Here is a 27,260-nt window from a genome sequence, read left to right on the forward strand (position 1 = left end):
TATGCAAACTGTGTTGCTATTTTATATTATCTGTTTCAGCTGTTTAATAGGATAGAGTTTAGTCTATTCAAATTTGTTTTCATTTTATTTTCACCACTTTATGTTCTATGGGCTATTGTTTCATCACTCCCCTGGCCCCACACCCAATTTTGTGGCACTGAAATGTATTTGTGGTTCATTTTGCCACCCTTTCGCCAGCAAGTTTAAAAGTAATAAATCCTGTTTCTATACTATTAATAGTTTTCCTTAAAGAGGTAGTTTTGAAATTATAACTCTCTAAGTGTCAAGCACTAATGAGTATCTACCATTCATCTCCTTCCATATCCCCTTACAAGGTGCTATGGTCTGAATGTCTGTGTTCCCTTAAATTCATACACTGACGCCTAATGCCCATTGTGACAGTATTAGAAAGTAGGGCCTTTGGGAGGCAATTGGGAGGACCTCCTTTGGGAGGTCATGAAGGCCCTACCCTCATAACTGGTATTACGAAGAGACATCTGAAGAGCTAGTTAGCTCCTTCCACCATGTAAGAACACAGCAAGAAGGCACCATGTATGAACCAGAGAGCAAAAGCTCTCACCACACACCGAAACTGCCGGTGACTTGATCGTGAACTTCCCAGCCTCCAGAACTGTGAGCAATACATTCCTGTTGTTTATAAGCCACCCACTGTAAGGTATTTTTGTTACAGCAGCCCAAACAAACCAAGACACTAGATAAGACTTCTGGCATACTTTTAGCCCTAACTTGATCCATTCAGTTTTGTTAGAATCACCTGAAATTTAAAGAATAATTTGGCTGAGAAGATAATTCTGTGGTTGTTAATTCTTTACCTCTCGAGATTCTGAAAACTTCTTTCCATCTAGCATTTAATGTTGCAAATGAAAAGTAATATCAGTTGATTTTCCCCCCTTTTCATGTCTCCTAATTTTTTCTCCTGTCCGGACAGTTAATTTTCTCTTTGAGATTAATAAATGCCTACATTTGAGTTAAATATTTGTCTCATCCTTAAGGAAGACTTATTAAGGAAAAATTCTATTATTTCTTTGATTATTGTATATCTTTCCTATATAAACTATTCTCCTCTTCTAAATTATTACACAAACATTGAATTTTCCAGAGCTTTCCATGCTTCAGGATTTCCATAATTTCCATTTCTTCACCATCCTGCTGGGATTAATCTTCATTTGGTCTTTTAAATCACTACCTTGGATATTCAACATCTGCTCTACTGGTGAGAATACTCACCATTAAATAAGCACAATCTATAATACTTGTTTTATGGATGTGACTGAACCTCTCTAGAATTTGTCTGAGGCCACTAATTAGAATTCCTTTAAGAACTCTTTCCAAAGCTGAGCATGGTGGTTTGTGTCTGTAATTCCAGCTACCTGGAAGGCTGAGGCAGCAGGAGGACGATCATTTCAGCCCAGGAGTTCGAGACCAGCCTGAGCAACATAGTGAGACCCTGTCTCTAAAAAAGGTTTAAAAGTATTTTTTAAAAAATAGTAATTCTTTCCAGTTGCTTTTTTTTTTCAAGAGATGGGATCTGGCAATGTTGTCGGGGCTGCACTAGAATTCCTGGATTCAAGCAATCCTCCTGCCTCAGCCTCCTGAGGAGCAGAGATTATAGATTTGCGCTGGGCCCAGCTTACTTCCTTGAAGTAACTAAGTTTGACTTTACAGAGTATGCCCTTGCAAGACCAGTAGGCCCTTCTCTTTAAGGCTGTTAATTGTTCTCAATTTTCTGTTGCCTTCCAAGCATCTATTCTTATTTATAAGCAAAGGCTTAGACTGGTAGCTTACATGGAATCTCTCTTAGATGGATTTGGTCTCCCCAGTAGGTAGGCATGAGGGCAATGTGGGCCCACAGAGTTCTGTGGGTGACCTTTGGTCTGGGTGTGAGGAGCAGGCAGGGATGGGCTGACAGCCAGATTTCCTTCAGGGGGTGTGGGGATGAGCACAGTCTGGCAAACCCCTCATGGAGGAAGGAGATGCCCCAGGGGCAGATGCTGGAGCTAAGCAGTTTCATTCTTGCTTCCATGTTTGCTGTGACAGGGCTACCCTACTTCTCCATTCTCTGGCCCCGAAACCCTCAACCAGGAACCCCTGCGGCAGGGCCCTCTCTATTTAGCAGTTTTTCCCAGCCACTCTCTGCCAAGAGGAACCCTGGCCCAGAAACCAAAGGCGTTCACCTCCTCAGCTACTGCTCCACAACCCACAGCTCTGCTCCCTCATCACCTGGAGTTGTTTTGCTGGCAAACTCCTCCCAGAAAGCTTGTTTTTTGGTCTTTTGGGGGGCAGATTAACTCCAATTTGTTTTTCTGAGAGTTCAATCCCATCCGAATTCTTCAGAAATATCTCAAGTTCAGTTCTACTGAGGAGACTTTTACCGGCATTCCAGCAGTTACACTTTCCCTCCCCATCCTAATTTAACATTGTAATCAACCTGGGATTTTGTGGTGGATGAAATCAATGTGTAGGACTACTTCTAGCCATCAATCATCTTGAATGGAAAGCGTCTAGAAATTAAGCTTAGGTTTAAAAGAAAATAAAGAATAGGGCTGATGGAGAAACATTTTATTGCAAAGGGTAAACAATTTCAAATGAAATTAGGTGGGAAATAAATAGCATATATAAATAAATATATCTACAGATAGATCTATACCCATCACCATAAAGAAACATATCCTTACCTTTGACAGTGGAATGAGAAAATCCAATTTGTAGGAAAGGATCACTCTGGTGAGCAGTACCACAAACACCACATAGGCAGAGTTCTCAAAGTCTGTTAATTGCACCTAGACAAGCAGAAGCCCAGAGAAGTTATGAACCAACTACACAAACATGCTCTTCCCTGACCCAGGCCCTTCCTCAGATCATGTCATTCCCAAGCCATCTCCTAATTCCCCATCTGGGTCTGGAAGCCCTTTGCCCACATCTATTCTCAGAAATCAACCCTCCTTAACTTGGACTGACTTGCTACCATGCACATACTTAATTTTTATTTTATATATAAGAGCCTTCTCATAGCAGCATCAGAAGGGTGATGAACAGCTGGCGAAAGAGTACTTTTGAGTCAGTTCTTGCTGATGCATGTGTCTTACCTCCATGGGTCGAAATTCTACTCTCCATCCAATGTCTGAGTTTGGAGGAGGGGGCTTAAATCTCATTGTCTGCCAATTTGTGGACTGAATATTCTGTGATACAAAAGCAGAGAAGAAAACCAACTTTTCACACATCCAGGAAAATATTAAGATGATCTGGTATTTAATTAAGGAAGAAGACTGCTCACTGTCCATACCAAATTTCAATTGACAAAGACAAAAAGGTACAATTGAAGATTTTCTTCGAGTGTGCTCTTTTAGGAAAACAAAACAGCCAAGTGTTTAACAAAAGCTATGAGGCCCTATCACTGCAAGCTTAATCTCACCCAGCTCCTACTCCCTATCTCCCAGCTACAGAGCAGCATCTGAAGAGCCACGGGGCCCCCACCTTCATCCCTGAGAATTTTAGGAGCCAGCCTGCCTTTCCAGGTGACACTGGACACTTTCATCTGAGAACCCTGTCACATGACAGTTGTTTCCTTTCTTCCTCCTCTCCTGGGAATGCTGCTGCTTCGATGACCCAAGAGCCTAAGAAGGGTAGCTGTTTCTCAATACACTGAGAGAGAGTTCTTTCTCCGTCCTGACCATCTTGGGACCCGATGGCAAGACTGGAAGGATTTATATCTCCTTTTGTGAGTTTGGTGGGGGAAAGAAAGGGGATATAGATGGTATTTCAAAAGGTATATATGTCAATGTCTACATATAACATGACACAGAAATAAATCTATGAGAAGTCTATCTACAAAAAAAAAAGGTGATATGTCTGAAGCACTGAAATAACTGATCAGGTTATTTTTTGTGCAGTGTATGTTTGAATTTTTCACCACTAGGCAAATAAGAAAATACTGAACAATAAAAAAAAAAATTAGAATCAGTGAGATAAACAGTAAGAATCGTAAAATAAGAGTACTTGAAACCGATTTTTTATTTGTCCAAGTTCTTTACTGCACTGGGTAAATGAAAGTCTTATGAAATTTCTTTTGTGTTCTCCACAGGTACAGAAAACTGCCTCCCCATGTTGGTTTGTGAAGTGAAATGCATATAAAACAGAGGATTCCAGACTCTCAGAAGTCAATACATAAATAAATAAAAATAAAACTGAGAAGATACCTCAAAATGGTCAGACTCATTAGCATCATCCAGGTGTATTTTCTCTTCAAACAGTGTCAGTGGGTCTCTAATAAAGAGATGAGCAACATGCTGGGCCAGGAGATGATCAATGCCTGCAAAAAGAGATCACATGGGAACTCACTGCAAAGCGAGAGATACCACTTCCTCTTAGTCCAGAAAGACGACAGGATAGCTCAGGAAGTTTGAAGAAAGGGTGTCTAGAAGCTTGAAATAGCTGGTTTGATTAGTATCCTCACCTCACCCAGTATTTTATCCTGCGGACACTGCGGGAGTGTCAGCGTTTTATTCACTACTTACACAATGCCTGCTGGGGCACTGGTGTGGACCTAGACACAGACCTCCAAAGTAAGCTCCTTTTGCTAAAAATCAAGAAAATCTCACAAGTATTTGGAACCTGAAACTTTAGGAACAAGTAGCCTCATGAGAGAAGTTAAAGACTTTGCACTAAAAATAGAAACCAGACCAGGAGTCAGCAAAAAAGTGTAAAAGAGCTTTGAAGAACTAAAGGCGTACATTCAAACCCAGAAAGATGGAGTAGAAACCCACCTTCCTGCAACAGCTGTTCGTAGATCTCTTTATCTATCGTCAAGTCGATGTCATTATATTTCTCACCACACTTAGATAAATAGCTGTCTATTGAGTCATATCGGGATTTACTGATCCTATAGTTATTGTTCTTCAATGGCTAAAGATTAAAAATATATATAAATGAATATGCTATATAAAATGAGTGGAATATATTTTTATATATGATAATTATATAAAAACCTCAACATAAGATACAGAAAAAAAGTTAGTGAGCCCTAAAAAGTATTATTAAGGAAAATTATGTTTTTTAAAATCTGAAGGCAATTTAAATACCCTTTTTTTCTGGTATGATTTAAATATACTTTTATCTTTTAAAAGCAGATCACTTTCATTCTTATTAAGCTAGGGAAAATAAATACTAAGGTTAAAAGCAAATAAATAAATAAATCTATAACGTAAGATAAACCTATCAAAATAATTATCCTTTAAAGTTTATTTCTACTTAGAAAGCATGTTCAACAATTTATGAACAATTACATGAAGACCAGAGCAGTAGTAGTATAGCCCTGGTTGAGAATATCAAAACCACTTATGAGGGCTCCTTTAAAAACACCCTTGTTCGGGTCCCATCCTAGAGATTCTTATTTAGTAGGTCTAGGATAGGGTCTGGGTGTCTATTTTCAAAGATTTCCATGGGTGGTTCTGATGCACACCCCTTGTTGGAGAGATGCAAGGGTTACTTTACAGTTCAACATGCAAACAAGAGGTGCCATCTCACCCTTATTAGTCAATGCCTAACCTTTTACATGGAAAAAGAATCTCTGACAACAAATTATACTTTCCACAGCAGAAAGCACCATATACAAAACACTCATGTGGCACCAAAAAGCCTTTTGGTAAAAACAGCCATCAGCACTTCCAAAATATAGAAAAATCGGACTACTAATTTTAAATGAAGCTAAAACAAATACAGACATCAACATACGATAAAAATTAACTCCCCACCTAGACCAAATCTTTTTCCCCATTTCAGATAAAAATTGCAGGGAGACATCCTGAAATTGCAAGTAGTTACAAAAGATCCATTTTACCTGCTTGACTTAAAAGGGCTATTAAGGAAAAACAATTCCCACCTCCAGTCCTCGCTCCTCCCGAGTTCTATCATCTACAGATGCAGAAATCACTCCCCAGCGACAATCAATGTCTGACACATAGCCTCGGTAAAAGGGAGATGCAGCACTCAAAGCCATCTAAAAACAAACAAAAGTCAGCTCCTGCAAATTCAAAGTGTCACTTACATGCTAAAAAAAGCTCCATGCAGTTATATTTCTGATCAAAAAGCATGTTTATGCAACCCATACAGAGCACATGTACCTGTGCCTATCTTACAGTGAAATATACCAGGAAGAATCCAGTTCCTTGGGTTTGATTCACTTAAATCATCCTCTCTCTAATGTGAGGACATGAAGTATGGGGGAGGGAAAATGGCCACATTCAAACTTCACATTTAACAAATCAATGTTGTACTAGCAAGAGTAAACTTCTACAGTGTAGACTCTCAGTTCATTATACCTAAACCTACATACTATTTATATTAGTCCATCTCTGACTGAGGTCTTAACTGGACTTAAATAGCACACTGTCAGTAAATTCTGCACATGCTATCTTATTTCATACGAAGTAGTATTTAAAATAAGAGGTAATTTCTACTTACAACAATTGGACAGATAGTAGCCAACTGATCATAAAGGTATCTGGCCTCAGATATACTGCAGGCTTGGAATGTCACCTGTTTAAGAATTGCAAAGTTATTAACACCAAGGAATCATTAGCATGCTCCCCAAGCAGTGAAGTCAGAGAAGGAAGGTGCTGGGCAGAGAGGGGCAAGTTAACAACGCTTCATTAATGGCAACATTTAACGCAAGAGTTTTGTTTAAAAGTTGTCTTAGGTGAATTTAACTAGAAAATGGTATTTAATTATGTTCCACTGCCTATAGACAACTAATATAAATAACCAAGGTCCTAAGTGAAATAAGATTAAATAGTCAAAAAAGAAAAATAAGACACAGACATACGATGATGTTTAGCAAAGCATTTTCTCTTCTACTGGCTTGTTGCCTTCCTATCCCTTCAGTCAGTGAGGGATGCAAAAGGGATTTGGACATGTTAACTATTGTTTTCTTTCTTTCTTCCTTTTATTTTTTTGAGATGGAGTCTCACTCTGTCGCCCAGGCTGGGGTGCAGTGGCGCGCTCTCGGCTCACTGAAAGCTCCACCTCCTGGGTTCACGCCATTCTTCCGCCTCAGCCTCCCGAGTAGCTGGGACTACAGGTGCCCACCACCACGACTGGCTAATTTTGTTTTTGTATTTTTAGTAGAGATGGGGTTTCACCGTGTTAGCCAGGATGGTCTCGATCTCCTGACCTCATGATCTGCTTGCCTCGGCCTCCCAAAATGCTGGGATTACAGGCGTGAGCCACCGCGTCCGGCCAACTATTGTTTTCAAACTTCACTGGTGGCAGTATGGTGAAGAGCTTGGAAGGGGGAAAGACTAGAAAGACAGGGAAGCAGTTAAAATACTGCACCTGTCAAGGAAAAGGCTGAGGAAAGATGTGGGGAGAGTGATACTAAAGTCAAAGTAGCAGGCACTGGTGACCAAGGGGAGACTGAGAGTAGGGGATGGCTTAGGTTTTGGCTTGGGTGTTCAGAGGTTAGAGATAAAGAGGTGTCATGACATGATGGACTTACGAGGCCAAGAGAACAGACAGAAAAAGAGGCCCTCTAAGTGGCTAGGTCTTCAGGGCTGGTGCCCAGAAGAAAAACCCGAGTTGTAGAAAGACCTGGGGAGTAGGCTCAGAGAATGTCCTGAAGATGGGGAGATCACCCAGGAAGCCTGCACAAGGATGGTAGGTAGGACACTTAAGAGTTAGGCAGAGAAAAGATCATATAACTTGGTGAGCATAAATTCTTTGTTACCCAACAGAAACCAAAAAAAAAAAAACCTGCTTTTTTTTCCAAGACGGTAGAAGGGGCAAGGAACACAAATTGTGTTTGTTAGCACATTTGTAATAACTGCAAGTTGGGAACAGTTTTAATCTCCTCTGTTGTTATTCAATAATGACAGTTTGAATTTCATGTTGTTATTCATTAATGACAGCTTGAATTTAGTGTTGGTACACGACATAATTTCAGTGTTTAAGACTTGAAATAACAGCAGCTAAGTGAATATTTTACTGTTATAATCTCAACCTGTTAGTTCCAATGGTTTTAGCTAGATCTCAACTTTGTTTTCCACAGCAATGTCTATTGGAGACTCAAGTTTGCCTGCTCAATTATAACCACATTTCATGTCAATGTGGAGACTGTATTAACTAGTCATTACTAATTTAATAATTAATTCAACACAGAGAAAAGCTGTGTCATAGGCATCAAAGAATAAGAGTTTCAAAGGTTAAAGTAGACACAAATTGATAAGGGTTGGCAATTAAGTCACTGATAACCAAACCAAGGGCAGTTTCTGCAAAGAGGTGGGAACTTGGAAATCGCTTTGCATATGGCATGAAATTACATGAGCAGTGAGGAAATGGGAGCTGGTACCCAAAGTCTTTATGCACTTATTTGCTGAAGTAGAAGCTCCAGAAGGGCGGGGATCTTTCTTCCCATTCTCTATCCCAAGTGCGCAGGACAGCATCTGATACCTGGTTAGTGCTTAACAAATGAGAATCTTGGAAAAAAAAAAGTGGGGGGGGGGTGCTAAAGAGGATGACATGCGGTCAAAGGTATAGTGAGAAACCTGAAAGACCGGGACCCCAAAAGCCAAACTGACAAGGCATTGAGATTTTAAAAAAACCAAAAAACAAAAAACTACATGTTTCCCAAGTATTTTGACTAAAGAATTATTTTGAACATGCATCTCTTAGATTTTTTAGGTCTTTTTTGTGTTGCTCTTAGGTATTTGAGTATGTGTCATTTTTGTTTTTAAAAAGATACTATGAGAAGCAGGTTTTCTTTCCAGTTTTTCAACTGGCTTCTCTTAGATGGCCTAGTATACAATACATAATTCGTAGGTGAATCCTGGGAAATTCAACCCCAGAGAAGTATACAACAGTGAAGTGACTTAGTTATTTTAAATGCATTTAGTAATTAGCTTTCTTAGTCTACAGCTGATATGCAATCAAATTAAATAGGACATCACTGTGGATAATGGCTTTAATGGAAGGAAAAAAAGTTCTTATACCTTAAAAAGCTATGAATACATGACTAATTTGGGCTTCTAGTGTCGTTTTGAGGCATCATATGAAGGAGACACACAATGTTGCTAGGAAACTGATGGGGGTGGGGTTGGGGGTGGAGGGAGGAACTAAGGAACATATATGTTAGAAACTGAAACATCTAATCTAAACTTTATCTACAACCCAGATTTGAAGTCACATGACTTTGGGGGGGGGGGTGGGAGGGGCTACCATAACCTGTCATGAACTTAGTGCTTTTTTTTTTTTTTTTTTTGAGACAAAGACTTGCTCTGTTCCCCAGGCTGGAATGCAGTGGCACGATCTTGGCTCACTGCAACCTCCGCCTCCCAGGTTCAAGCGTTTCTCATGCCTCAGACTCCTCAGTAGCTGGGATTACAGGCACATGCCACCAGGTCTAATTTTTGTATTTTTAGTAGAGATGAGATTTTGCCATGATGACCAGGCTTGTCTCAAACTCCTGACCTCAAGTGATCTGCCCATCTCAGCCTCCCAAAGTGCTGGGATTACAGGCATGAGCCACCGTGCCTGGCTGTGAACTTGGTGCTTTTTAAGTGATTCCTGAAAAGCCCCAAAACAGTCAATAATTTGAATGTGGTTAAAATCCTTTTTGCTTTATACAGTAAGTCTTCCATTAGCCTTACAAAATTACTTTAAAACTATTTTTTCTACTTTACTAAGCAGTTTCTTTTTTTTTTTTCCATCTCTCTAATGATACATAATAGATGTACACAGTTTCAGGGCACATGTGATAATTTAATACATTCATATAATTTGTAAAGATCAAATCAGTGTACTTGGGAAAGAAGTTGGTTTAGTGTTCCACTGAAGAGATATAAAGCAGGGATTTCGGTGGTGAATTGGCAAAATTCATTTCATGTGCCACACACTTTATCTGAGCTAACGATTTTTTTTAAGTGGAGTAGTGAAACTGTACATGTCACTGGGAAAAAGAAAACAATCCTAAGCTTACACTAGATGGAAAAATTCTATCTACAAGCAACAAAAATATTTATCATCTACCATTAGGAAGCATTTACTAGTATACATACAGTGTTTCAGTGGAAAGAATATCCCTTTGGAACCATATCAGAGAAACTATGCGGTCTTCGGCAGAACACCCTGGTTTAATATTAAACCAAGAAAAGGCAATCAATACTCTTAACAGCACTTATACAATTTTAAAACCATGTACTGTAAGCTCTAGAACTTAATGGTTTTCTTTAGAAATACTTGTAATTAAGATAGGAAACAGGCAGTTAAAAGTCGAAAGATCTCTTTTTTCGTGAAGTGTGATGGTTTATGTTTATTTGGAAGTCACATATCTTATACTACCTATAAATGTCAAGAAAACAGAAAGAAATTATCCTTGGCCATGTTATTTAAACACATTCAGAATGGAAAAATCTGATTCCAGCATTCAATTTGGATTATACTTAGTTTTGAAAATAAATAGACCAGAGATATATGCACAAGAAGTGTGTGTGCACGCTGCAGCTGTTTCAGGTGAAGGAAGGCTGGGTTCTGGGTCTTTGCACTGAGAGCAGTCAGGCTGGCGGCTCAGAGGGGTCTTACATGGGTCCAGGCTCTGCACGGCCCTGTGCCTCTAAGGACGCTGTTTTGAATCAGCTGAAGTAATCACAACTGGATAAAATTTCCTTGGACATTAAATAACAAGCAGCCTCTCTCTTTTACTTCTGTTAGTTAAGGCAATAAAATAAATATTAGCTTAGAGTCAGACCTAGAAGGGGACTTAATATCAGCCCTTCTTTCAACTGATGAAAAATCTGAGCCAAAAGAAGTAAAGGGAGTTGCCCAAAAACCTGAGTAGTGACAGAGCCAAAAGCCAACTGCAGGCTTTTGTGTGGCCACCTGATGGGTTCCATGCTCTTCCACTCTGGTCCTAAGTGAGCTTGGACACACTCACTGCCAGGGGCACCATCATTTAAACAGATCCAGGAAAATTTTTAAATGGGTAAACAGAGACAGGCTCCTGTATACTTTACTCAGGGGCAAGACAAACACAAGCTGCTAAATATTTATTCTTTTTGTACCGCTAGACAGCTTTGCACAAATCCCTTGGATCACAAAATCATTGGAATACTTCCATCAGAGCTCATTTTCAGAGTTTTGAACAATATTTAAACCACCTCACTAGCCTGTCACGAGATGGCAGTAAAAACTAGGCATATAAAAAGAGAAGGGAAACAATGACAGAATATATTGCATTTTAAGTTAACTGAAATTACAGTTATAAAGGTATATATACCGTATATACCTTTGTGGTGAACAACAGAGTCTGTAGAACTATTAGTCATAGACAGCTTCCAATGAATTTACTAATATAACTTCATGTTTTTCAGAAAGGCATACCAGCTACCATTTCAACCTCATTAAAATGTGATTTTTGGAACAGGAAACATGCATATATAAAGAAGTTAAAAAACAGAAATGGATGGAACACTTTGCCTCTCTGTATATTTGAAACTATACCTGGAGACAGCAATTGCCCATTCCAAATCCCATGGCATCCATGTAAATATGATCCGGCTTAGAAGCCCTTGAAGCTTCATCATCCTCAGTAAATGTTTCTATAAATGGAGATGGTGTATTCTTGTCCTTAAATACTGTATTATAAAAATACAAAAATAAAAATGGTTTAGAATCCAGGATTAAACAACAATACAACATGTCTCTCTCCCACCCCACCACCTCTCAGTAGACTTACTTGGTACATTGATGACAACCTTTTCTCCTCTCCTATGTCGGATATTTCTTGTTAAGGTACTAAAACAGACAACCAAACGTCATAAATTGGTCACCTAAGAGTCATCGTGTAAAAGAAGAATTTGATTACATACAAGTAAGTGGAATGAAATCATACCTCAAATTAGTTATCTAAGACAACTCAACAGAAAATGTATCTGTGGTGTCAAGACACTACAAGGGAACTTTGTGATTAAAGATTTTGCATTAGTATCAATTCTTTGGCTCCTGCTCGAGAATGCCGTTCTGTCTCCTGCTCAACCCCTGCTCCCAAGGCTCCCTGTAACTTACCAAATCAATTCAGGTGTTCAAAGTCTGCCATGGTCTGCTTTCACTGTTTGCAACATGTCCCAAATTAACTCCAAAGACTTTGGTCAAACTTTAGTACCCACTTTGCCCAGGCATCTCTGGAGCCCCAATACCTTGCTCCTCCCTCCCTCATCTCTGCAGGATTAATAATTATCCTCCAGACTCATGCTTGTTTAGTCCAGAAGCTACCAGGCACACAGTGGCCACTGAGTACTTGAAATATGGCTTGTCCTAATGAAAACATGCACATGCTGTGAGAGTAAAATATACACCAGATTTTGAAGACTCCGTACAAAAAAAATGTAAAATTACTTGTGAGTAAAGGATTACATGGATCAAATGATAACATTTTTGGACGTTTTGGGTTAAACAAAATATAAAATTATGTTCATCTGGTTTTTACTTTAATGTGGCTATGAGAACATTTACAATTACATGTTTCTATGGGCAGTGCTGCTATAGACTCAGCTTAAATGCCACCTCTTCCGTGAAGCCTGCTTTGATTCCCTCAGTCAGAAGCACCTTACTTTCTCCAAGAAGGATTTCTGGTGCATCTTTTGACATCTGTCATAATCTATCTCTTCTTGAGCAGCTGAATTATTTTTATTTTCCTTTAAACACATGACAACATATGAAGTTAGAAACTACGTCTACAAATATCTGTCTTCCCCAAAAGGCTCTGCACATAGCAAACGTGAGGGCCTGTTAAAGGAATGAACGCTGAGAAGTCTCCATGTTCCCACTCTGGATCAGGAGCCTAGGCTCAGGATGACAGATGAGCATGCATTGTACAAAGCTAAGATCAGGCTAGTGAGAGCCTTAAAGCAACTTAAAACCTCAGAATTGAACAACAAACCAACAGAACTTGAAGTTAATGGAAGAGAGTGCCTATTATATATATCAGGTACTGCACCTATTTTATAAGTTATATAGAGTAAGATGGGCAAATCACAGATACTGATGGTTAGAGAGGACAAAAAAGGAGAAATAACTAAGAGAAAAAAAAAATCCCAGTAGGCATTTACAGACCTAGGACTGAAAATAATCTCCCTATTAAAAGAGTTATTCGCAGTGGCTCAGCGAATAACTTTGTGACGACTTGGAGAATTGACAAATCAAGCCTGGTGCACGCATCAACAACCAAGAAGCCTGGGGGTACTGAAGATGTGAACAGGTGCACATCTGCTATCTTCTCTGGTTACTTAGGAAGAGAGCCAAAACTCAGTTAATGCTCAAAAAGGATTTCTAGACAGAAATACTATACTCTCAGAAGTCAGGGGTCTAGTGAAGGGCATCTGCATTTCAACACAAAGCCATACTCACCTGAAGCGAGGGTGCTTGTTTATTGCTTCATCTGGAAAGAAGAGGGACTTGGAAGCTCCTCCTTCCACTGGGTTGGGTTTGACCTCGGGCAGTGTGAACCCAGGACAGCCTAATCTACAACAAATTGAAGAACTAAATAGATGGGATTTGTTTTCAAGAATTAATTGTGTGCAGTCTTGCCATCACTGCACCTGCCAAAGACACCTCATTTCTAGTATCCCCTTTTCAGAGGGCTTTGTGTTTACAAAACAGATGTTGTGTAAATACTGTGCCCCTTTACAACCACTCCCCACACTTCTTGCTCACAAGGATCTTCTTTTAATTCCAGCCCACTACTAACTTTATCCAAGTCTCCACTCACTCACAAACCACACAGCACTTACTCGGGTCCTCTCCATCTCTTCATCTAATAGGAAGGACTGATAGCACAGAAGTCATTTCCCTTGGTCACATCAGCTGTCATGGGTGACAGGTGTCCCCTACATGGCCTATGAGGTGTCTTCCTTTTCCATCTCTAAACTCTCAGATTATCTTTGGACCTGCTGCATGGCACCACTGCCTCCCACTTCCTGGTAGGCTCTGAATCTGGAAGGAGCCTGTTTTTTGCCTCTATAGGTCACCTCATGAGTCCCTCAAGATTAGGGAGTGTCTCTGCAGGTGTCCCCATCTACCCCTGAGATCACCCTCTGAAGTCTGAAACCCAATCCTATTCTCTTACTTGACTTAAGGAGCTCTAATTTCAACACAGAAAAATGAAGCTCCATATTTATTCCTAAGTGTAAAGCTCAAATTCTACATCACTTTTAGTGATGGCCCCAGTTTTTCCAAGTTAGGAATTTGAGGTCAATATTACATGTGCTGTGAGGGAGGACAAAGACTAAGCGAAAGCCAAACAAGGGAGGAGTTTTAAATTAGTGGGAAGAAACTTTTGGCTTGAGGATCAAGACTAGCTCATATCTTTTAAAAAAAAATTTTTTTTTTTTTTTTTTTTTTTCTGAGAAAGGGTCTTGCTCTGTCTCCCAGGCTGGAGTGCAGTGGTGCAATCATAGCTCAGTGCAGCCTTGAACTCCTGGGCTCAAGTCATCCTCCTGCCTCAGGCTCCTGAGTAGCTGGGATTACAGGCATGAGTCACTGTACCAAGTTTTTTTTTTTTTTTTTTTTTTTTTTTTCCAGGGACGAGGTCTCACTATGCTACCCAGAATGGTCTTTAACTCCTAGGCTCCAGTAATCCTTCTGCCTCAGCCTCCTAAAGTACTGGGATTACAAGCACGTGCCACCTCACCTGGCCATCAATGCCTTATTTTTAACCCCTACCTTTTCTTAATATAAAATAAAGTATCTGTTGCCTGCCCAAATCCACCTTGTAAACAATTGAAGGTAGTGATCTTATCTAGAAAACAGTTCCCAGCTACAAGGGTTCTTGAGAATTCTTGAAGCTATGTGCATTATTTACTATGAGCCTAGAACCTTAGGAATAGTCCTTTGGGAGAGTAATAAACTTAAATCTGAGGGGATTCCTTGCTCACCAGAATCAGATTGGATGAAGAGAGAATGAGAATGTGTTTGTGTGGAAGGGAGAAGGTAGAATCAGAACTTGCATCTTCGGACACCTACGGCACTGCTTCATTCTAGAGCAGTGCTGTCCCACAGAACTTTCTGGAGTGATGGAAATGTTTAATATCTCCACTATCCAAACCGATGTGGTAGTCACTAACCACGTGGCTACTGAGCCCTTGAAATGAGGCTAGTTCCTCAGTCACATCAGGAACTACAATTTTCATTTTATATAATTTTAATTTTAAATAGTCACATGATTACTGTTTTGGACTAGAGTTCCACACTATAAATCTTTGCATCTTTATAAAGTCACCCTGTTTACACTTAAGAACCAGAGCACTCCTTTCTCTCTTGATCCTATACTACAACAAAACTTTATCATTTATTGTGGATGTATAGGGAGGCTTCTAACCACTAAATAACTAATAATTATTGTTTCAAGTCCCAAAATACCTTCCTATATGGACAGGGTATAAAAAATTATACATATAATTTTTTCTAAATTACAGGTTTTTAGAATAAAGCTTATTCCTCTGTCTCAACTTTCCCTTCACAATGACTTAAGATGCTGAATCTTTTTATTTTTATTTATTTATTTATTTTGAGACGGAGGCTTGCTTTGTCACCCAGGCTGGAGCAGAGCGGCACAATCTCAGCTCACTGCAACCTCCACCTCCCAGGTTCAAGCGGTTCTCCTGCCTCAGCCTCCGGAGTAGCTGGGATTACAGGCGCATGCCACCATACCTGGCTAATTTTTGTATTTTTTGTAAAGACGGGGTTTCACCATGTTGGCCAGGCTGGTCTCGAACTCCTGACTTCAGGTGATCCGCCTGCCTCGGCCTCCCAAAGTGCTGGGATTACAGGTGTAAGACACCATGCCCAGACACTAAATCTTTTTTAAAAAGGCAACTATCCCATATGGAACCATTCTCAAGGTAAAGGGCACATTAGGCTTAACCCAAAACTTTATTTTCTGGCCCAGAAGGAAACACCACTGCCCATCAATCCTATATATTCTTCAGCTTTAATATATAAAACAGTTCTGGTTTGTGTTACAAATCCCCTCCCACTTTCTTAATTTGCTAAGTGAAATGTACAACCCTCTTAATGTTAAGGGGAAAAAAATGAACATATAAGGTATTAAATTTTCCAGTTCACTAGAAGTTGTCATTTAACATCTGTAACCTACTCCTTGGCCTCTACTCTAGTACTCTTAAGGTTTTCAGGACAATGACCTATAGCAAAAGCCTTGATGTGTCTTCTCTCCCCAGCAGTTCACTGACTCTGTCATCTTTTAAACCACCCACTTTTCCTATCACCAGCACCCACGGGCATCCAGGCAGCCCTTGTCTCCCCTCAGGGAGCTCCCTCACTCACCTCCTAGTAAGCCCTGGCACCAGCTCCACAGCTACTCTCACACTACAGCCCAAGTGAGGGCTGCAAAGCAAAAAGGGGATGCCATCTGCCCAACCCAACCTTTCCAAGGCCTTCAACTGCTTTTAGGAGAACAACTAAAATTTATGGTTAACCTGACCTGGCCTGCCAATTACCTGCCAGCTTCCCTTTACCCCATACCTGCACTTCCTCCTCAGCCTCCTAGTCACACTGGCCAGCTTGCTTTCTTCTAGTTCCCAGGAAGTCCCCGCTTGTTTGGTTCATCCTAGGACTTCTACACACACTGCTCCCCCTCCCTAAGACTGTCCTCCGCTCCTCATTCCTATTTCACTCCTCCTGGAACCTTGGACATCCCACCCCCTCCCCCTCCACCCACCAGAGTCCACTGGATACCTAGGTTGTACTCTTTGCTCCCCATCTCCTCCTGCTAGCACAGCCCCACTTTGACGCTTATGAATCTATGGGTATTTGATTGTTCTTCAACCCCCCAGCTCCACAGAGACAGAGCTGTCCGTCTTCACTCATGAGAGCATGCCCATTCTGCCTGCAGCAGGCACTCAAGTGTCTGAGTGAATGGCAGGGCCAATGATTTTTCACCTCCTCTTTCAAACATTAGGTCGAAGAAATGTGCCCACTCTAATCAAAACAAATCTGTCCACCCTCACCCAGCTGGGTTTTTCCTTCTGGGGGTGGAGAGAGAAGTGACCTGTACATACAGAATGAAGGTATCACAGAAATAGAGATGCTTCTATAAATGTTAGATGGCTGGCTTAAATAAGTTTTCAACTATTTAGATGTTACAGTAGAGATATAAAAAAAAAAATAGAATTCCCATTTAAATGCCCCTCTGAGGCCAATGATATGACCCTGAATGGCTGACGGACACGTATCAGAGAAAAGGTATAAAAATAGTTCAAAGTGTTCTCCACCATTGATACCAACCCCCAGAGCTCCTTTGAACTTTGAGGAGCTAAGTATACTGTCACCATCTGACAGACATCTAGCATAGATAAATCACATTCATGTTTTGGCAGAAATGTATTTTTACATAGAGGTTCTATGTATAATACATATGATATTCATGTACCTCATTCTAAGCGAAGAACATAATTTCACTATTTACTTTTATGTACTTTTGGTCATAACTAGATTTGATGACAAACCCTAAATCTTCTTTTCAGAACAATATGCAAGGACCTAATGACTCACGTTGTTCATAGAGCATCGGTATCGATAGTGCTTTGGGAGCACTGCAGATCCTCTGATCTGCCACTGATGCCACCATATGCTAGCAGGTAAATGCTGCTTTTTGAAAGTGCATGAGGGCGCAACTGTCACAGTCACCAGGGGACAGCATTCCAGAAGCTTTGGCTACTGCTTACAGGGTCAGAACTGTGTGGCAGGCGTGCTGCTCCCTCCACCCTCGCCTGCGGCAGACACGGCCACACTGCTGGTCTGTCATCACAGTATCCTGGTCTTTCCCACTGAGCCCCCACTGAGTGCACTCACCACGGTGCAGCCACCACAGCTGACAGAAGCTGGCATGCAACTGTGTCTGCAGCTCTACTGTTACAGAGTCTATCAAGTGCAGTCTATAAAAGATAAACCATCTGTAACGTATGAGGATTGTAAGGTGGAATGCCCGGGTCGTGACTTGCTCTTTTCATTACCTGTATCTCTGAGAGATCTGCTGGGGCATGTTAATATAGGAACTAACCTGGGAAATGAAGTTATTGTGCAAAGAGCCTGATTTTCTTCTAATATAGAAGTAGCCTCCTTCCGGCGTTTTCGCATGTTGGCCTCAACTGTATTGAACTCGGACATTGTTCCTCCGTAGGGCTGTCCTGGTGTCCCTTCAATCATGTAACTCCCATACTCTGGTCTCCAAAGGGTAGGATGGCTACGGAGGAGAAATAACTTAGTTCCATCTTATTCTTTTGCTATAGTCTGCTCAATTTTTAAGTTTTTAAAGTTGCTTTAAAAGTGTAGAAACCATTAGGTATAAATGAAGCTAAGAAGTCCTTCACAGTTCTCAGTGATTATTACTTTTCCATAGCTATTCAACTACATAAGGGTCAACAAGTATTGGGTCCAAAATGTTTTTTTTCTTTTGAGACAGAGTCTCGCTCTGTCACCCAGGCTGGAGTGCAATGGCACGATCTTGGCTTACTGCAACCTCTGCCTCCCAGGTCCAAGTGATTCTTGTGCCTCAGCCTCCTGTGTAGCTGGGATCACAGGTGTGCCCTACCACACCTGGCTAATTTTTGTATTTTTAGTAGAGATGGGGTTTCACCGTGTTAGCCAGGCTGGTCTTGAACTCCTGGCCTTAAGTGATCTGCCTGCCTCGGCCTCCCAAAGTGCTGGGATTACAGGCATGAGCCACCATGCCCAACCCAAAATCTTTATAAGTAACTGAAAATGCACACAGAGCACTCACTGTCCAGGACAAACTAACCTACTCTGCAGAGAAGGAGATGAGGCCTTAAGGGTTCTTTCAATTCAGTGCTGCCCTCCAAACTCAAATGCAGCTTCCCCAAAACGAATGAGTGGAAAATGAGCAGAGGAGTATATATTCCCCTCCCCTCCCCGTCTCTGTCTACTTAAATGTAGGAATACCTTAAAAACACACCAGGCCGGGTGCGGTGGCTCATGCTTGTAATCCCAGCACTTTGGGAGGCTGAGGCGGGCAGATCATGAGGTCAGGAAATGGAGACCATCCTGGCTAACACGGTGAAACCCCCGTCTCTACTAAAAATACAAAAAATTAGCCAGGCGTGGTGGCGGGCGCCTGTAGTCCCAGCTACTCGGGAGGGTGAGGCAGGAGAATGGCGTGAAGCCAGGAGGTGGAGCTTGCAGTGAGCTGAGATCGTGCCACTGCACTCCAGCCCGGACGACAGAGTGAGACTCCGTCTCAAAAAAAAATCATGCCAGCCAAACAAAGCCAAACAAAGCCCATCTGCAACTTATATCTTGCATCATGGTTTGTGATCCCAGTTATACGCTTCTGCAATACATTTTTTCCCAAAAATGTTTTAATAAAAAACAGGCTTTATATTTAGTTTACTGTACAAAGTGCTTCATATATTAATGTATTTAATTCCAACACCTTAGGTAGGTATTGCTATGATCTTTACTTTACAGATGAGAGAACTGAGGCACAGAAAAGTTAAGTAACTTGCCCAAGGTTATTCAGCTATTGAGTAAAGGAACCATGATTTGAAACTATGGCAACCTGAAACCAGAGCCTGTACTCTTAACTGTTAGGCTATCCTGCCTCCAATAATTGAGAAAAAACTCTATATTCTAGAAGTTTTAGCAGTTTCAGAAACACTAAATCAGCACATGAGAGCTTACTTTGGGTTTGTCCTTTCCCCCTTCTCTTGCAGAGTTTCAAGAACTTTCTCCCCAGACAGGACCAACCGGACTTTTTTATTTTCATGATCAAAAGATACCAACATGTATTCCACCTATTGAAAATAAAGGTGAGAAAAATTAACATTCTTCCAGACTTGTTTTCAGTGTGGCCTCCAGAAGAAAAAGGCAGGGAAACGTGAAGTCTGTAAAGGATCCACAGTAACTCCAGACAGTCACATTTGTTTACAGTACAGCACATAAGTGTTCATATGCATAATATGGAAACCTGTAGAAAGGATCAGTCAGTAGTGCCACTTCCATCCCTTCTTTCCTCTGTCCTACTTAATATCCTATGGAAAGGTCGATACCCATTTTGACAAGCTGTACTTCAAAAAAAAGATGTGTTTTGAAGCAAAGATTCTGTAAATTGCTGTTGTAAAAAAGAAGCTGCATTTTAAAATTTATTTCCTCAGTTGGCTTACTATAAGTTTAAGAAAGAGGTTATCTGGACATTCCAGTCAAGGTAGATTACACTTACTTACTGGCAGAGTAATAAGTAAGGTAGATTACACTTTCATAATCCCACTACCAGTCCCACTTTTGGAGAGTTAAATCATAATCATAAATATACCGTGTGGAGAAGTTATTTGAGGGGTTTCAACAATTTAATTTTGGTTTATCTCAAGTAATTTAAGGCAACTTCTCCACTCTGAAACCATATAAAATTTGCAATGCAGGGTGCACTAGTACATTTATTAACAATACCTCGTGGAATTCTAGTAAAAATAAAGGACATAAACACAAAGTCAGACTTCTGGGCAGAATACAACTAGAACCTACTTTTGTTTTTCCTGAAGTTACAAGCTTTCAATCATGACAGTTGGCGTGAGCAGTGAAGATTATGAATCACTGTGTGTGATGGAAACAAAACATCCATTATCCATATATAAGTGAAAAGATACAGAATTATTCAGGCAAGCCCTTGAAAGTACCCTTTGCACATGGCACCAATACAATTACTACAGAGGTAGGAAACTGATTCCTCACAAGGCAAACCAGGCTACAGTGTATTTGGTTTGGCCTACAATAGTAGTTTAGAAAAAATAAAAAGGCAGGCAACCGTATATCCACTATTTCCCAGATATTTCACATGTAAATCTAGGTTCTCAGTCTTAAAACAATACCCAGAAGCCCAGCACGAAGCCTGTGACTGTGTGACTGGGCTGTTTGCTTTTCAGGGGTGCACACTGTCTGCAGTTTATTCCCTTATTTATGTGTATTTCCCTGGTCTTGGAAGGCATTTGAGTCAGCCGTCCTCATCACAGAAACATTAAGGGCTAAGTAATATGATTATAAAGAGGAAAAAAATGTTAGTAACTGTAGGAGATAGCCTAGCAGATTTAAACAACAACAAAATAAACTTTCAGTTAACGTTTATTAGCTCTCATCAGAATCTTTTAGCTCAAGAAATGGAAAAGTCTGCTTGATTTGGGTACACGAACCAGAAACATGAGATCTCCACCTGCAGAATCACTCAGTGTCAGCTGACTAAAAACTAGGCTGCAGAATCTGGAACTGTTCGCAACAACAATTACAGGTTGCAAGATACCATCTATAGATCTGTGACTCCGGAACAGCTAAAACCTGGAAACAGAAAACTTGGTTGAGTCTCAGAATGGGTATGTGAAAAGATACAAGTTAATCTTTAAATAAGCATAATGAGAAAGGATATGCTTTCATATATGAATCCTAATCTTCAAACCCAGCATGCAAAAGCAGGCTTGATTACCCATTTCACAGGTGGGCAAAGGGGCTCAGAGAGGTAAGCTACTCAAGGCCACAAGTGTCAGGCAGAGATTTGAAGCCAGCCCCGTCTGGCCTCAAGGCCCAGCACACCTTGCTGCTAGGGCTGTAGAGGGTGCCAATCTTGGTAAGTGAAGATAAGCTTTTTATAAAATTGTTATAACCTATATGAAGCAGGGAAAAGTTATAATACTGGATGAAACTATCTCAAATTGATTATGCTTTCATTTCATGGAAGGGGTCCTAACATTATATCATGGAAGCTGGGCTGTAACAATAGTTACAGTCATAGATTTTAACAGATGAACTGGCCCATCCCTCAGGCCCAGGACGGAACCCACTTACTCTGTGTAGCATTCCTAACTCTCCCAGCTAGGAGGAAATGTTCCTTCTTCAGTACTTCCTCCTTCACTCACTTAGACTCCAACTCATCTGCCTGGCATCTGCTACTGGAATTAAGTTATTTGCTTAACTAGAAAACATGCTTCCTAAAGAAAGTCTAAGAGATACTTCCTTGCTTACTGAGTGCATCATTTATTTTTTACCAAATGAGCAAGAACTTGTAGCAATTATATAAACTAAGTTGCAATAACTTTAATTGTTAGTTTCCTAACTTTGAAAAAAATTGAAATCCTTAGTTTTCAAATTCACTCTTAGCCCACAAGTTTAAAACATGGGTAGGGCAAAAGAACAAAAAGTTAAAGCTCATTCTGAGTTTTAAATATCAGTTTTAAATGCCAAACGGATGACATTTAAAATGTTAACAAACCAAACTCTCCTCAATTAAAGTATAATCACTTCATGATCTCATTAAGCAAATGAAACAGAAAAACATCAGAATATTTACCAAATGAGAAAGAAAACCAAATTTACTTTTCAATAGAATAATCATCAGTTGGAAGCCTCAAGAATTTCCTGACGGTTTTTCAAACTAAAATGTAATGCCTTCTGAAGTGCTCCTTCTCTGCAGTCACCTTGAACTTTCTGCACTAGTCCTCAAAGAGGTTCTTCAAACTTTTAGCTTTTTGTTAAACACCCCCACCACCTCAACACATTTATGTTTATTTCCGATTAGAGCCTGTCTATATGAGCATTCTGAATCGTAACTGCATATTTAAAAGTCAAACTAGAGCTGAAATGGGGTTTGACGCAATAACCGAGATGATTGGTGATAATAAAAAGTGATACATTAAGACAACGATTTTCCAATATAAAACATCTAAAGCCCCAATAAATTATTTTATGATTTCTGGATTGTATCCCCATTCTAAACTTCATTTTTGAATCCAAAGGATAAGAGGAACAACATACAAAAGAAAATAATAAAACAGATGCCTTTCTGTATCACAACACTGATTCCAAGGATAAAACTGTATCAGCTTACTAACTTTGAATAGCATCTAGGCTGTAAACCCAGAATTGCAGCAACATCAAATATATTTATGTACTTTACACATATATACAACTCCAAAAGCATACATACCCAAAGAGCATTATAAATGGGTTGCAGAGTGACCAATTTAAACTTGTGCAATTAACATATCATCTTGGAAGTAGGGGAAAAAAATACCCACCGACCTCTATTCTCTGCAATACACAGGTCACAATGCCCTGAAGGTGACTCTGGGATACTGTTTTTTGGCACCCATCAGTTATCCTTTTAATTGAGGGAGAAGAGACCCAATAAAAAAATGCCTGACCACTCTGCAAGACATTCAGATTTTAAATGTGCACTATTTTTACAAATGAAAATTAAAATCTCTTAGACTTCTAGTGCTAAAAGGCTAAATTTTATCCTACTAGAATAAAAACCACTATTCTCAGCTGTCAAATCAAGGACAAAGACACATATAAAAGACCAGAATAAAAGTCATTAATACACTACTATCCCTGAGCTGTTGAACCAAGGACAAAGACACATACAAAAGGCTAGTATGTACTTTGCTTTGTGTGTGAAATAGTGTTGCTAGGAAAACTCCAGACACAGTAATCCAAGTCATTTAATGCAGGTTTAAACAAGGGTGAGGTACTTTTATGTTAATCTGAAATTAGGCCAACAAAAACAAAGAATTTTAACTGAGGCGATGTAAGTACTCAGTACAATGCTGAATATACAGCAGACAGAGAAATACCTGTGACAATGAAGTTTAAGGGTAAATACAAGCTTTTAGGATTTAAGTCTTTAAATGGCATTTACCACTAGCATAAGATAAAAATTTTCTTTTCTTGCTTTTAAAAACTTTTGATACTCTACCTTAAGGGTAAGAGTTTCAGGGAGCTTAGAATTTGAGGAATGGCAGGCAGGGCACGGTGGCTCATGCCTGTAATCCCAGCACTTTGGGAGGCCGAGGCGGGCGGATCACAAGGTCAGGAGATCAAGACCATCCTGGCTAACACGGTGAAGCCCCATCTCTACTAAAAATACAAAAAATTAGCTAGGCATGCTGGCGGGCGCCTGTAGTCCCAGCTACTAAGGAGGCTGAGGCAGGAGAATGGCGTGAACTCAGGAGGCAGAGCTTGCAGTGAGCCGAGATCGCGGCACTGCACTCTGGCCTGGGTGACAGAGCAAGACTCCGCCTCAAAAAAAAAAAAAAAAAAAACAATTTGAGGAATGGCTGGGTATTTTATGAAATACTAATTTCTTAATATCTACTCCTAGAGGTAAAAACAATGCTTAATTAGGAAACAATACAGTTCTATAATACTCAGAGCAGTTACAGGCAGTTCCCCATTTAGGGAGAAAGTTCTTTTGTCAGTTTCTCTGTAAATGAGAAGGAAGGAATTTTCCCTCTCAAACTATTTAACCCATCATATGCTTGACCTCTGAAGAGAAGAAACCTACACCAAGCCCTTCAGGGACTATGAGCTGTGAGGTCCTACATTCCTCCCAGAGACAGCATGAGGACTTTCCCCTCCTTACACCCTGGGAAGGATCTCTATCCAGGTGGTCAGGCCAAGGAGGGCAAGACAGTGAAGGGCTCCCCAGGACCTAGTCCAGGTAGAGTATGCGTGCAGGGCAGGGTCTTCAGACCCCTACTGACATCTGGGGTTCAGGGCCAGCTCCTCCATTCCACACTGCTGGCTCTCTTGCAATGGCCCAAACAATAGTTTTGATCCTTTTGCTAGAACCAACTGTTGCTTCTCAGAGACTTAGTTTTCTCCTTACACTAACTCCTAAACAAGCCTGCAACCATTTTGAGGACTAAGGCTCTAGTTAGAGTTGATGACTACTCAGTGCCAAAAAACACTGTCTTGCTGGACACGCTCCCTGCCCCCCACCCCCAGCACTAACCCCTTTGTCCTTTCATCCATTCAACAAAGCTCTTTGCTAAGCAGGTGCTGGGAATACTGTGAAGAGCCAGGCAGATGTGGCTCCTGTTCTCAGGCTTACACTGGCTGGACTGACAGCCAATAACACGCTATTGCTGAATTATCTGAACGAGTGCTCAAAATGACCAAAGAGAGCTGTGCATATGTAACAGCACAGTCTAAGCCGGTCTAGAAGATCAGAAGGCTTCCCAGAGGAAGTGCCATTTAAATTTAAGTTGATTCCTTACATGGGGACTGGCTAGGCAAAGGTGAGGGTCTAGGGATCCTTCAACATAAAATTCAACCTCCCATAGGATCCCGTCCCCCAGGGGAGCTGCACCACTGACTGCAGCACAATCACCCTCTCGCCTGTCAAAGACGCAGATCACTGCATCCACCCCACAGAGATCATGCCAAGTAGTCACCCTCTAGGTTATAAACTGTTTTAAAGTTAGGGACTCAATGCCTTCTGCCCAGAAGACTGTTTCCTCTCACAGCAAAATGGTAATGACAAATTTTTTTTTAAAAGAAATCTCAACCATCAAGTTGGATGGCATTCACTTCCCAAACTTGGAGCACCCAAAGAGGTGTTAGCCATAGTGATGCTACTTAATTTTTAAACACCCACAGTAACATAGGACAACCTGACTGACAAGACTAAAAGAGGAGCTGTGTTTTAAAAAGTAGAAAACTGAATATGAGATTCTAATACAGATGTAATAAAATTACATATGGCTCAGATTTTTAAAGATGGACTCCCATGTTAGATATGTCTAATGATGACATCACAAATAGGAAAACCACTGTTTGACATGGTAATCTCCAAGCACTTTTAGGGGACCAGTAAGTACAAAGTAGAAACTGTATGTGCTTTTGTGTACATGACATTATACATACATAACATCACACACACAACTATATTTTAAACATATATATTTGATGATTTAAATATATATATATTTGATGACTGTGGATACTGTAATAATTAAATTGTTCTATGTTCCAAAAAGAAAATGTTTTAGCAGTTTTGTCTAAAGCTGTATCAAATTCTGCTAACATTTCATATATTTTGAGAAAATAGGTTTTTTTCCTCCTACTTTGAAATGTCTATTCATACTAAAGAATTTCACATGATACTATGAAAGGTTTACACTTTTAGAAATTAAAATAAATGTGGCCTCTCCCTGATCTAGTTTTCTGTAGCACAGAGCAGGCTGCTTTTTATTTATAACACATTAATCTCAATTTTAATACTGCACAAAAATCAATTAATTTCCTATAGGATTAGGTGGAGTAACTTTCTCAATATTGTCTCAGCCCAAACAGAGAAAACATTCTTAACTTGCCTAGATTAGTGATATGAGTCCCAAGAGAAAAATTTCAAGACTTTAATAAAATAGAGAAAGACAGTGAGAGTTGCGGGGTAAACTGGGAGGACTCTCATACAGGGAGAAAATGTCACCTGTCACCAAAGGAACACAAAAAATTGTGTTGTCCATTATGCTAGTCACTAAGCACATGTGGCTGTGTGGATTTAAAATTACTTAACATAAAATAAAAAAATCAGTTTCCTACTCCCTAATGGATAGTATAGAGTAGAACATTTCTCTTACTGCAGAGGTTGTACTAGACAGCACTGGACCAAAACCCAAGAGAAAACACAATCCTAAAATTAATTTGACCTGGACACACTAATTCATTATTGTTGGCACAAAGGAAATCCTTGAATGTAGACCTGCTCTTTCATGCTCCACGGATGCATGAGACATTTTCTGGGCCTCTGAATTTACATTGGTTGATTTTTTTAAAAACATCATGCTACCACAATTCAGGCATATGTTAGTTTTAATTTTCTGATAATTATAAAGACCATTAAGGCATTCCTACTTTATTTCTGAACCAAATCTAGCAAAACCTAACCAGTCATCTCACACAAATTAACCTCAGAAAAGACAGCACATCAAGTTGCCAATGGGGATGTCTGCTTATGGCCACCAGCATTACTCAGGTACTCTGTAATTTAGAAACCTAAACCAGAACACATTTTCTCTTAAAGAAACAACATTGTAAGTATGAATAGTCCTTATTTACCTCCAATCATCTGTACTTCAGTACAATAGGTTCTGAGTTCTAAAGACAAATGAATTCCTTGGCTTTTTCCTAAGAACGTATTCCCCTGCTAGAGTTCTAGTCACCACGTGGTTGACAAGAAACAGTATCCTGATCCCCAGACAGAAGCTGCTTTGGATCAACTGCCCTGCAGTAGCCAGAGCTGGGGCACTGTAGTGGGTGAGAATCATGGAGAATTTCTGCAGCGGTTCCCTCTAGGTGCAGGAGAGTTTAGGGCTTTAGCATGGGGACAAGACAGAGAACACATCCCCCAGTGGGCGGTGCCCCGCTCAGGGCCTGATACACTTCTTGGGCTGAGC

General features: G+C 40.3%; 1 protein-coding gene and 1 long non-coding RNA gene across 5 annotated transcripts in view; one reads left to right on the forward strand and one right to left on the reverse strand.

Moving 5' to 3' along the window:
- The window catches only part of GCLC-AS1 (GCLC antisense RNA 1), a 75,418-nt gene extending 71,202 nt beyond the window's left edge, over positions 1 to 4,216 (forward strand). For all 3 annotated transcript variants that reach the window (NR_183318.1, NR_183319.1, NR_183320.1), the window contains 2 exons: positions 3,459 to 3,739; positions 4,103 to 4,216. This is a non-coding gene — a long non-coding RNA (GCLC antisense RNA 1). The remainder of the gene's footprint in view (positions 1 to 3,458; positions 3,740 to 4,102) is intronic.
- GCLC (glutamate-cysteine ligase catalytic subunit) overlaps positions 1 to 27,260 on the reverse strand; it is a 47,761-nt gene that overhangs the window by 5,355 nt on the left and 15,146 nt on the right. Inside the window, exons 2-12 of one of the 2 annotated variants that reach the window (NM_001498.4) lie at positions 19,720 to 19,832; positions 18,083 to 18,265; positions 13,414 to 13,527; positions 11,744 to 11,802; positions 11,509 to 11,642; positions 6,481 to 6,555; positions 5,900 to 6,016; positions 4,785 to 4,923; positions 4,218 to 4,330; positions 3,108 to 3,200; positions 2,697 to 2,801 (exon numbers count right to left, since the gene is read on the reverse strand). In NM_001498.4, the coding sequence (NP_001489.1) occupies positions 2,697 to 2,801; positions 3,108 to 3,200; positions 4,218 to 4,330; positions 4,785 to 4,923; positions 5,900 to 6,016; positions 6,481 to 6,555; positions 11,509 to 11,642; positions 11,744 to 11,802; positions 13,414 to 13,527; positions 18,083 to 18,265; positions 19,720 to 19,832 (1,245 nt within the window). The remainder of the gene's footprint in view (positions 1 to 2,696; positions 2,802 to 3,107; positions 3,201 to 4,217; positions 4,331 to 4,784; positions 4,924 to 5,899; positions 6,017 to 6,480; positions 6,556 to 11,508; positions 11,643 to 11,743; positions 11,803 to 13,413; positions 13,528 to 18,082; positions 18,266 to 19,719; positions 19,833 to 27,260) is intronic. The other variant, NM_001197115.2, reaches the window with a different exon arrangement.

This window comes from Homo sapiens, chromosome 6 (genome assembly GCF_000001405.40).
Source record: "Homo sapiens chromosome 6, GRCh38.p14 Primary Assembly".
Lineage (NCBI taxonomy): Eukaryota > Metazoa > Chordata > Mammalia > Primates > Hominidae > Homo > Homo sapiens.